This window comes from Homo sapiens, chromosome 5 (genome assembly GCF_000001405.40).
Source record: "Homo sapiens chromosome 5, GRCh38.p14 Primary Assembly".
Lineage (NCBI taxonomy): Eukaryota > Metazoa > Chordata > Mammalia > Primates > Hominidae > Homo > Homo sapiens.
Genome location: NC_000005.10, coordinates 148,401,244 through 148,413,833, shown reverse-complemented (window position 1 = coordinate 148,413,833; position 12,590 = coordinate 148,401,244). Strand labels below are relative to the sequence as shown.

Genomic DNA, 12,590 nt, shown 5'->3' with positions numbered 1-12,590 from the left:
TGGTTCATACCATGGTAAAGTTTTAGCTTTATCATTTAAAAGGAAAACAAAATCTTAAAAACTCAACTCCCTTACAATAAAATGATGTTCTTGGAGCCCAGTGTGGACATGTGTAGAGAAAGGTAAACTCTGAGAATTTAAGATTCATTGTTAGAACCCATGGCACTGGTTAGTAACATCTATCTATACCCTAAAAGTGCACTTCTAACTCAAACACATGCCACTGGGCTTTAGTGCCTACTCTCTGGTCACAAACTAGGGGTTTGGGAATAAGTAAAGGAGGATCCTTTATTCTAGATCATGTCACTAAGAATCACACCTCATCCCTTGCCTCTTATCATTTCTCCCATCTGCCTGCCCCCTCACGCTCCAAGATTCTGTTAGTTCATAGTTACATCTTTAGTGTCTAGCATAGTGCTGGGGATACAAGAGCTCATGGGAATACGTCTCTCACAGTCTGCAATCAACCAATATGCAGGACAAAAAAAAAACACTGCCACTCTGGTGAAGCTGCCCTGAATATCACAGGGATTTACAACTTTAGCTACAACATGTTAAAAACAATCCATCTTCTCCAAACTTCCAATTTTACTTTCCATATAGTTGACAGTCTTTCTCCTATAGTTCCTATATTTGGTATCTCCTGGCACATCTTACAAATTTCACCTTAATCCATCCTTTACAATTTAGCTGAACTATTTTCTTTAGCTCCTGGTAAGGATCATTTCCCTGCTCTTAGGACTTCAGATGAAACTTACCATTTTCCTTAAGATAGGGTAAACCTTGAACTGACCCTGTTTCCTGGGCACTATCTGAATAAATGCTGTAACCTAACATGACAAATCGATGTCTTGCATTTAGTTTTTTGAGATGAACACCATGTTTCTACTCTTGGGGCTTCCTGCTTGACACACTCCTTTCAAAATCCTGATGATATTACTTGAGATTCATTTTTGTTTTTCTTTTCAGCCCACAGGTGAGCTAAAGGTAAAAGTTATCATTTATTGAATACTTCCTAAGTGTCAGAGATTACTGTAAATGTATACATCACTTTTCCCTTGGTTCCTCAGAGCTACCCAAGAGAAAAGCAGGATACCACCTTATCTTCATTTAAAAAATGAGAATTAACTTGCTTAGGTCTCATGATTAGTAGCAGACAGGCCTCAATTCTCTCTCTCCCTCAAGCTCTAGGACTAAATTGCTAGAACTCTAGGGCTAGGACTATATTGTTTCTGAAATTTTCACTGAGTTATACGTCTCTATCAGTATTATATAAAGCTTACAGATCATAAATCCACATGAACAAAGAACTCTCTAAAGATTCATCTTTGGGTCACTGTCAGAAGACAAAGGTGATGTTTCTATTTATTTATTCTGCCAGACCTTTTATAACAAGAAAGTGACTCAAGTTTTACCAGAGGCCAGCCACCACTTCTTGGAGAGATGCTTCAAATCTAAATTACTGAGAAGAGAGAAACTAAGTGAGAGAGTGTGAGTGAGCAGTGACCTCATGATATCGTCCATAACAAGTACCAGGCACCTATTCTGAAACAGAGAATCCTAGGTCATCTTTGGAGGGACAGAAGATAGTATGCATATGGAAGAAATGGTTAAACTGTGGCAAATAAGAAAATGAATGTACAAAGTTCAACATAACAGACTATTAAGTATGAAACAGAACATGAAACAAGTTGTGTTGAAAACTACGAGATAATGGTAGTCAAGAAGGTATTTTTATGCTATTGAAAACATATGTTGAGGAGAAAGAAACACTACAGGAAAATAATTGGTTATGAAGTTAACACTTGAAGACAATTCTTCAGTAGACCTAAATTTGGCCATCCTGAAGGTACACAATTTGTCAAGTTCTGAGCTTTTGGGAAAAATAGAAAACAAAATTATAGAAAGAATATCAATTTCAAAGCTAATAATTTTGTTACTATACAGACATTGCAGAAACATAGGGAATGTTAGATACTTCATTCAAAACCAGAAAAGCTTGATATCAAATGTATTAATTTTATATAAAATCATTGTACTCATTAGCATTTTAAAGCTATTTTGGAGAAAAGCTGATCTTTTTCAAAGCTATACAGATTTAACATGATTCTAATAGTAAACTGTCTAGAAAAGGATGGCTTGACTTTTTAAAGTAATCACCTATATTAATGAGTACTGTGAAAAACAAAAAAGTAAACAAACAAAAAACCCACAACTATTATTGTAATATATATTAGAAATGAAAAACAGTCATGTTTTTTGAGCTGGATTGTCCTGAATGGAAGAATTAAGCCTTCTTATGTTCTTCTATAATACAAACTAGATCCAAAGAAAAAATGTTATCTGCTATGAGGATGAGAGTTCAAGAAAGACTTGTTGCAAATCAGGTGGGAAGAAAATGAATTCTTGAATAAATAAAAGCATGTTGGTGATGAAAATTTTCTTTCATATCTTATTGATGCCATATGGAAAAATAGTTTGAGTAATGAATTGACATGCATTCAAACCCAAAGAAATGAGTTCTCAATTGTAAATGGGTAAGAAAATGCTGTGAACAAGCTTTCCAACAGCAATCATCATTAAATGAATACTGACCATTATGTGCTCACACTATCTGGAAAATCCAGAACCCCCAGCGGGCTTATTATGGAAATGAAGAGCATGGGCAGGGAATGGGACCTCATCTGAGAGGACCATCAAAAGCTTCAAGAAGTGTGGCAGATCAAATTCAACAATGGAACCAAGGATGACATTCTGTGAAAAAAATGAAGCAGAATGGGAAAGAAACTTGGGCAGTAAAGTGGAGACAATATCAAATGTAGATAAGGTTCTTTTTCTGGTGTATTGTTAGTAACTATATTTTCTATAATATGCTAAAATCAGAGGCAATATGGAAAAAAAAATCACTGACATTTCTAATTTAAAAGTTTATTTTTCAAGACGTGAGAGCACCTAAGATTTTAAGTTGTCTTATGTTCAAAAAGACATGGCACAACCCAATTCAGATTTCAGTTTGTCAAGTAAATTTCTTACAGTAATTCTAGGAATTAAAATGGGATAAATCTTACTCTGTAGCAAAAACTCATCTACATATCCTAGATGAAGGGTTTCAAACTGGGGAAACTCCAACTCTGCCATCTTTAGGGCAGAAAAGACACCATCTTTGGTTAGGGAAGGCTGGATCCGAACTTCATGTAACCTGTGAATAAAGACAGAGAACATATCAGAGTAAAACAAAAACCATCAGAATCAAAGATTCCTCCTAATATAAGTGTATTAGTCCGTTTCTATGCTGCTGACAAAGACGTACCTGAGACTGGGAAGAAAAAGAGGTTTTAATGGACTCACAGTTCCACATGGCTGGGGAGGCCTCACGAACATGGCTGAAGGCAAAAAGGAGCAAGTCACATCTTGACTGATGGCAGCAAGTCACATTTTTGCCTGATGGCAGCAGGCAAAAAAAGAGAGGCTGTGCAGGGACACTCCCATTTTTAAAACCATTGGATCTAGTGAGACTTATTCACTATCATGAGGACAGCATGGGAAAGACCACCCCCATGATTCAGTCATCTCCCACTGGGTCCCTCTCACAACACATGGGAATTATGGGAGCTGCAAGATGAGATCTGAGGAGAAACAGAGCCAAACCATATCAGTAAGACTCTGAAAGAAGTTCATGACTTTAGTGAAGTGTCACAGATGTCAACAACTTCCCTCCCACTTCCTCCATTGAAAAAAAAAATATTTTCTTCAAAGGAGTATCTGCAAAGTGTAAGGAAATCTTAAGCAGTACACTGAAGCTATACATTAAATAACAATTAATTACAGGTAAGAATCTTATATCCTTTCAAGTGCTTTACTAAACCTGAAGAGTCAATGTGAGAATCTGCATCTGGTGCTGGTATTTGACATTTTGCTTAGGCTAGCTATTAATGTTGCATTTTAACAAAGAGTATAATTCTGTAGTAGGTAACAATACCTACCTAAACTTAGAAACACTTTTATTTATAATCCTAATCAAGTCTCTTGATGGAAAAAGCTTTGTTTCTGAATAAATTTTAAAAATGCTTAAAGAAAATATTATAAAATAAAAGTGGAGGTAGACCATTGATATGTAAGAAATAGTAAATGTGGCATAAAGTGATATAACCACTTGGTTAAAAAATATAGAGGTGTTACAAGGTCAGACTTTGGAAAAGCTGATTTAAAACACTGATTTCTGAATAGCAAATATTATCACCAAGTAACTAGAACAATTCAGAAAATCATCCAGAGATGGAGACAATGGTCCTGAGAGGGCTACAGACACCAGAGCTTCAATGCTAACTTCTATTGGACTCTCAGCCATTTCCAGAAATTCCACTGCTTTTCTCTGATATGAGACCATGCCACTCTGGAGCTTGCTAGTATGCAGCTCAACTGGTTACCAGTTATAACATTAAGACTACCATGATGTTATACTTATCTGTTATTTGGACTTCTTCGTATTTTAAATTTGAACAAGGCTTGATCAAATGTACACACATATATACACACACATTCCACAATTTTTTGTAAAATAGGGAAAAACATAATTACTTCTAAAGTGAGAGACACAATACAAAGAGGAAACATACCTACGGGCAGCAGTAATGATGAGGTAACCAAGATCTACTTCAAGAGCATTTTTGCAAGCTCCCAGAACAATAGTGTGCAAATTTCTAAAACCACCTAAAGACGAGGAACAAAAACAAGTGTTTGACCATAGCATTTTTAGTGAAGTATTTATATACTATACATTATAAAGTATTATCTGAGATGATAATTACTGATTTAAAAGTAAATCTAAGCTTTGTTTTTGCATTGAAATTAATATCTTAAGATGAATTATAACTACTGGTGACCTAAAAGGAAATGAAAGCAGACCCTCATTTTGCAAAGACACTGATGGCATCTGAAAACTACTCTAAAAGATTTACATTGTTAAGTAAGGATTTTTAGAAAGTCAGAAGCTGATGAGAGAATTGTAAAAAAAGAAACCCTGCCATTTCTGGCCAAATTTCGAACCTCCAAATATCATATGGAACAAGACCAGAACCACTTTAACTGATTTTTTTAATGTTTCTGAAACTTGTATTTACCTACAAAAAAGAACATAAATTACTAATATATAGCTTAAAGAAATGACTGATTTATCTGTTTTAAATTTGTATAAATAAAATCACAAAGTTTGTATACTTTTGTGTCTGGCTTCTTTTACTAAACACTCTGTTTATGAGATTCATCCATATCGCTGTGTAGCTGTAGTCTGTTCACTTATTACTGTACAGTATTTTGCTATATGAATATGCCACAATTTAATTATCCATTCTATTGCCAATAGGCATCTTTCCATTTTGGGATGATTAGAAACAGTGCTTCTATGAACAATCTTAAAAATGTCTTTTGGTGAACATATGTAAACATTTCTGTTGGGTTTAAAGCCAGGAATGCAACTGTTGCTATGTGTATGACCAACTTTAGTAGATACTACCAAACAGTATTTCAAAGTGGTTGTATGAATTTATATTCTGACCATCAGTGTATGAAAGGTCCTGTTGCTTCACATCCTAGCCAACATTACTGTTTTTATCTTTTTCATATTAGTCACGAGTAGGCATAGTCATTTTAGTGCTTGAATATCACACTGTAGTTTCAATTTGCATTTCCCTAACGATTAGTAAACTTTTATCGTTTTTTCATGTTTATTGGCTTCTTGTGTGCAAACTTTTCTATTCAAGTCTTCTCCCATTTTTTCTATTGAGTTGCCTGCCTTTTTCTTATTCATTCCAGGAGTCCTTTATATCTTCCCAATACCCAGTATCTGTATTGCAAACAGCTTCTCCCATTCTGTAGCTTGGTTTTTCACTCTCTCTCTCTCTTTTTTTTTTGAGACAGAGTCTCACTCTCTCACCCAGGCTGGAGTGCAGTGGTGCGATCTAGGCTCACTGCATGCTCTGCCTCCCAGGTTCACGCCATTCTCCTGCCTCAGCCTCCCGAGTAGCTGGGACTACAGGTGCCCGCCACCACGACGGGCTAATTTTTTGTATTTTTAAGTAGAGACGGGGTTTCACCACGTTAGCCAGGATGGTCTCGATCTGCTGACCTCATGATCCGCCCGCCTCGGCCTCCCAAAGTGCTGGGATTACAGGCGTGGGCCACTGCGCCCGGCCGGTTTTTCACTCTCTCAATCATGCCTTTTGATGGACAAAAAAAAAAAAATTTTAATTTTAATTTGGTACAATTTATCAATATTTTCTTTATGGTAAATGCTTTTTGGTGTCCTGTTTAAGATGTCTTTGTGTACTCAAGGTCAACAAGACATTCTTCTAAGTTATTTTTTTAAATTTCATTTCAAAATTGTTCTCATCTGAATCTATGACCCATCTAGAATAAATTTTTGTGTGAGGTATGTTGACTTCTTGAGTAAAATACAAGGCAGGGTCACCCTTAAAAACTGATTAGAGAAGAAAAGTCTCTGTTTTTCTTTTAGGACCTTTATACAAACTCAGCTTTTAGCACCTCTCTACAGGTCTTCTCTCTAGTGAATACACCAGTAGCCTTCTTTTCGTTTTTGACTTTTATCTTGTTAACTATCGCCATCAATCAAAATACTGTTGGTTTTAAGGGGTTGTTTCATCCCACTGGCTAAATGTAATAAAGTACACTTATACCACACTTGACTGACAAAATGTCTAGAAATGTAGTGTTTACTCTTCATTATATTTCAACAGTATTAACTATAATGTCTGTTTGTTAACAATGGTACTTGATGACTTTCCATTTTATTTTAGAGAGCCAAAGTTAAGTTTTTGGTTTCCAACTATTAATCATCCATTTTGCTAAACCACTATTTTTTTTCTGCAATGAGATGTTTAACACAAAGCACATTCTGTTACGTATTATTTATCTATAGTTAAGTATACACAGAACAACTTTTTTCTTTTAAATATCATCATCTGATGGGTAAATCAATATCCAAGTAATATGTATAAAAGTATTTTTTATATTATAAAGTATTATGTGATAGAGATTAACATTATTAATGCCTAAATTTTTTTTGGAAGCCTCGGCTGTACAAGTTGTAAAACATCACCAAAGAACGCTAGAAATCCCTGTTAACATTTCTAAGAAAGATTCCATACATAAGAGGAGGTATTATTAGCTACATAAAAGTCAAAACAAGCCAGAAAACATGTCTTATCACTCTACTGTCTATTTTAAGAAAGTTTAATGTGCACCAAAAGAAAATGAATACTAGCTATGCTCATGGTTACTTACTGTCCATCAAATACAACAAAGAAAGCAGTTACTGACGAGCATTTTCTTTTTAAAGACTTGCCAGGGAAGTTAAATAAAAGCTTAATGATTATTTTAAGTTGATTTTTAAAAAATATTTAGTAATTAAAGAAAATGAATACCTGATCTCCAACTGTCTTCAACAACATGTTGGATAAGACCTCCAAGGAAAGGAACTCGAACCATTTCTAAGTGTTCCAAGTTTCGGGCAGAGGCTAAGCCTGTTACTAAAGGGACATATTTCAAGGAATTTGTGGGTCCTGGAAAAAAAAAAAAATCTTTGATAGAACAATGTAAAGTGCCTTAAAATGAATTTCAAATCAGTGAAAGACATGTATAACTTATAAACTCTAAGTCTTAAAATGACAGCCAAATTGGCTCTCTGAAATCAGGTTCTTGTTACAAATGAAAGTGTTAGCCTATTAACCATACACTTACTCAGCATAAAGGTTTTTCAGTAACACTGTAGAGATATGTAGTATTCCGTAAATTCTCTAAAGGCTCAATAGTTTTGAACTCAAACTAACTAATGGGAAAAAGTCAAGATAAAAATTTGATCCTTCACTCAAGTAAACAGCTCAATCATTTAATCATCTCTATGACCAGTGTTGCATTAGCTACTATAGAAGATCACAAAAGATATGGTCCTGTCCATCAAAAAACCTGCAGTTGACATGGAGCTAGAACTAACATAAGTAATTATAGAAGGATAAGAAGGCAGACTGCATCAAGTGTAAAAATAAGATCTGCCATACTCCATGAAAAAGAAAAAGAAAGAGGAGAAAAGTAAGTTGGAAAAGGCAGAACCTGAAGAACGCATACAAAAACAGAGGAAGAAAGTGCACATCTCAGGATAACGAAACAATAATACAGCATAAGAGAAGACATTGAGATGGAAAGCTGTATGGCTGACCAGGGAACAATGAATAGTCAAATGTGATGATAAAAGAAGATATATCTTGGAAAGGTGTCAGAATAAGGTTATCAAGAGGGGTCCTGGTTATCATGACCTTAAGCAGAGTAGTTCCCACTTAATGCTCTAGTGCAGCGGTGTCCAATATTTTGACATCACTGGGCCACACTGGAAGAGGAAAAATTGCCTTGGGCCACATTGGAAGAGGAAAAATTGTCTTGATATTAAAGATAGCTGATGAGCAGGAAAGAAAAAGAAGAAGAAGAAGAAAAAGCCTATGCATAAATCTCATAATGTTTTAAGAAAGTTTAAGAATTTGTATTGGGCATCATGTGGGCTGTGGCCAGTGGACCGTGGGTTGAACAAGCTTGCTCTAGGGCAACAGGGACACTAAAGATTTCTGTTTAGAAGGATAATACCATAAAAGCTATGTTTAAGGGAGATTAAGGAAGCCAACTATTTACATGCAGAATGATTCGGAGACCAGAAACAAAGTAAGAAGACTGAAATTTAATAAAACAATCCTAGGAAAAGTAAAAAGTACCCGTAAAAAATAGAGATATTCTGAGTTTTGTTTTTTTTTTTTTGCTGAGGTCAAACACAAATCATCTTTCTAATGTCTTTAAAACAAAAAGTACATTTATCTTCACAAGATGAATATGTTATAAGACATAAATAGTAATAGCATAATATAATTGTATTTACAAATGTAGCTAGAGTTTGCTTCAGGATATTTTTAGAATAACTTATGTTTAATTCCACCATAATTGTGTACCATTACCTGCACAGTTCCTCATGACGAAAGTTCTTAAGCTGATACAAAGGAAGTCTTTAAATGGCTGTGGTTTAGTGAGTCTTACCCACTTCATATAAAGGTGCCTTAGCATTGGGATACAAGGAATTTCAGGAACATTCACCCCTAAAACACAAATATAAAAAAGAACAAACAAGAAAAAAATCACAAAAATATACTATATTTTGCTTATAAGTTCAAGAGTCTATTTTTCATATTAACAGCTTAACCTTCAAGGATTTTTATCCGAACAAATTATACAAAATCTATCAAGTTTGCCTTATTTAAAACAGGCTTACAAAGAACAGTTTACGTAAACCATAAACTGACTTAACTTTTTTAGGAAAGGCCAATGGGAAGATAGAGTTTAAAAAGTATTTCTATGTCTTAGACATGTAAGTCTTTCTCATAATCTTACAACTCTTCTAGGATACGTTTTCCCAGAAGAGGTAAAGTGAAAATGGATTACTGAAAGCAAAACTATAACGATGGAGATGGAACACACAAATTTACTATTTGACTACCAACATCCACTGCCCCCTAGTAGGAGAACTATATTTCTCAGAGCAAAGTCAGCTAGATGGGTTTAAATATGCAAATAGATATCTGGAAGATAGCCAAACACAGAACTTTAAAAGCTGTTTTCTATAAATATATGAATCTTAAGAATTTGTAAATGTGTGGGAGAAGCCAGCCAGCATGGCTCTGAGAAAAGCAGAAACCTGCCAGTCATTTATTTTAGAATTTCAAATTGGTAAAGGTAATTTGATGCATGGGATCCAGGAGTGGCTTAATACTAGGAATCATATCCACAGAGGACCATGACCAGAAGAAGGGAGGTGTAGCGTGAGGTGAAAAAATACAGGAAATATGGATGAAAGAAGATAAAAGCCAAGGAAGGGACACAAATTTATTAAAGAAATCCAAGGATCCAGGATGATGGCATTTAACAAACAGTAGTTGGCAAAACTGTTTAATGCAATTTTTAAATTTGAGACAATAGGAGCTCTGCTAGCAAGAATAACTAGAGAATGTAAAATTGCAGTACTTGAATGGTCAGTTGTTTATAAAGGCTAAATTCTACCAAATGTTCTTATTGTAACCTACAAGGATTACCCCTTAACTTGTTCCTCTCAAAATAGCAGAGTTAAATTTAGTTTGAACTATGCACACACATTGTATAGCAACAAATGGGAAGTAAAATTAAGGATGAGACAAAAGGACAAAAAGCAGAAGTGAGGTACAGATTGAGATGTAAGATGCAGAAGTCACAAAGGTTAAATTTAGCATATATTGTAATACTATGAAGATGGTAGTACTGATTGTACTGATTAGGAAACCCAAGGAAGAAGGGTGAGACAGATGCAGAGAAGACAGTATACCCCAGGCCCAAACCACTTTCTGTCTCAAACAAACTCTATAAACAAAGGACATAACTGCCCATTCTCCTGGTAATGTTTATTTTTATTAATTTACCACACCTCTGCATCACCATAATACAGTGTTAAACTGTTAAATGATTCCCATAAATTAATGCATTTTAATAAAACTTACCCTGTACTTATATTTGCAATGAACTGTGACAGGCATTGTAGAAAATATAAAGATATGGAAATAAGTCTTTGACCTTAAGGAGCTTATATTATAAATTCCAGATATTACAGAATCCTTTTACATCTAAAAATCCAATTTCAAACTAGATATCACTCCCTGATCTTATAAATGAAGGGTTGCTAGAAATCTTTACTCTTCTCCCATAATTGTGTATCTAAGTCTTATTTAAGACCTACTCCTTATCATTCCTGATGCTCTCCCTGTACCACCTGAGTTTCAGAAATTTCCACTTCTTTAGACCATCCCCAATACCTAGAATAATGCTTAAAACACATATACTCTCTCTCTCTCTGTGTATGTGTGTGTATATATACAGAATAAAGTAGTAAACAAATATTAAAGGCCAGCTATATTAACAGGGACCCCCGAATTCCTTTCAGTGGCCTAAGCCAAAGGTGACAAATTTGAGAAAATATTTACACTTTTTACTTAAGTTGAAGTTACTGGTATATAATTTCAAAGAATATTCAGATGGAGAATGTACACTTGTGAAGCAGTATTTCCCTCACACCAGTGGATCTTTAATGGGAAATCGGAATTTTTATACAGATCTTGCAAACATTTATTTTGCAATCATCAATCAACAAAGCCATCTCTAAAATTCTCATTATTCTTTTTCAGTGAATATTCACATTTTATGGCATTTCAAGGAGTTACAAGTGACCCAAGAAACATGTACTCACCAACTAAATGTAAAGTTTGAATTTTGGCTCCTATAGGAATTTTCAGTTTATTTTCAGGAGGAATTGGAAAAGCTCCATTACGATTACGAAATTTCCCCAAAATATGAACATGGGGCATATATGTCCAAATGGATTCTACCAACTCCAAATGAGAAGTTTCCACACCCTAGAAAATAATGCCAAAGCAAGCATAAGAAAAGACTTTAGTTTAGCATCCAAAGCTTTATGTACCACAAGATGCTAAGTACACAATGGAACTTAAAAGTTTGTGACAGATGAGATTTGCATGTGAGTGAACACGTCTATCATTCTTTGGTCTATTATTTCATAAACAGTTGATGCCAAAATGTTCAACCAGGTGCACTCACCACTAAGTTTGGGCATGCCTGCAAAGCTTCTAGGACTCCTGGAATGCTAAAAGCCTCATGGCCCCTTACTCTTCGCCTCTCAAGGTATCGAGGGTGAAGGCCATATAGCTGTTCAACATCTGGCATCTTCTTTAATAGTGTTAGAAAACTGGCATCTGTAAAGCCTGAGAAGTTCAGAAGTATTTAGAGCCAGGTTCATCTTTCTGTTCATTAACATTTACTAGGCACTCGTGATTTTTACCAAAAGTTAAAAAAGACTTCCTCTTCAAATTTCCGTAAAGCTAACACTAAAGCTGAATAAACATAACAGAAAATATACTCCTTTAGTAACAGAGGAAATGAGTCAGAAACTCCACTTAATCTAAGTTAATACTTTATGGAGGAGGCTTTTATTATTGACTTTTTGGTTTTTGTTGCTTTTAAGGCATAGAAATCTTCAACAAAGAACACACTTTTAACCCAGATAACTTGGACCTATTTGGTGGATGGAGTGGGACCACCCACCTGATCACCACCACCCTCCTCCTCCCCCATGGGTACTCTCGTCTGTAAAACCTTCAGGACTCTATAGAACACATAACTAAAAATATAAATAAGATATGATCCTCATCGTTAGGAAGCTCACAGTTCTGACCTAATTCCTATCTCAAATTATTCTATCCATTTTCTAATAATTACTCTGATACTCTGTCATATGTTTAACTATTACTCCCCCGCCATTTTAGACAATTAATTCTTTTGAAAAAGACAGATGCAAGTTAGCTAAGAGAACCAGAGTGATCCAATCTCAGGGTATGCTGTTGATAGGAAGCTATCTATCCAGGAGACCATAGTAGGAATCAACAAGATGGGAACAGAGAGAGGCAGGTTACTTCCACAGCAGGAGCTGTTGGTTAAGTAAG

The 12,590-nt window shown here is 35.1% G+C and overlaps 1 protein-coding gene across 10 annotated transcripts in view; it reads right to left on the bottom strand.

Moving 5' to 3' along the window:
* Positions 1–12,590, bottom strand: part of FBXO38 (F-box protein 38) — a 58,879-nt gene that overhangs the window by 29,003 nt on the left and 17,286 nt on the right. For 9 of the 10 annotated variants that reach the window (XM_024446223.2, XM_047417784.1, XM_047417786.1 and 6 more), the window contains exons 4-9: positions 11,689–11,852; positions 11,321–11,486; positions 9,012–9,149; positions 7,440–7,577; positions 4,617–4,710; positions 3,069–3,199 (exon numbers count right to left, since the gene is read on the bottom strand). In XM_024446223.2, the coding sequence (XP_024301991.1) occupies positions 3,069–3,199; positions 4,617–4,710; positions 7,440–7,577; positions 9,012–9,149; positions 11,321–11,486; positions 11,689–11,852 (831 nt within the window). Of the gene's footprint in view, positions 1–2,595; positions 2,721–3,068; positions 3,200–4,616; positions 4,711–7,439; positions 7,578–9,011; positions 9,150–11,320; positions 11,487–11,688; positions 11,853–12,590 lie in introns of those variants that run through there. The other variant, XM_047417787.1, reaches the window with a different exon arrangement.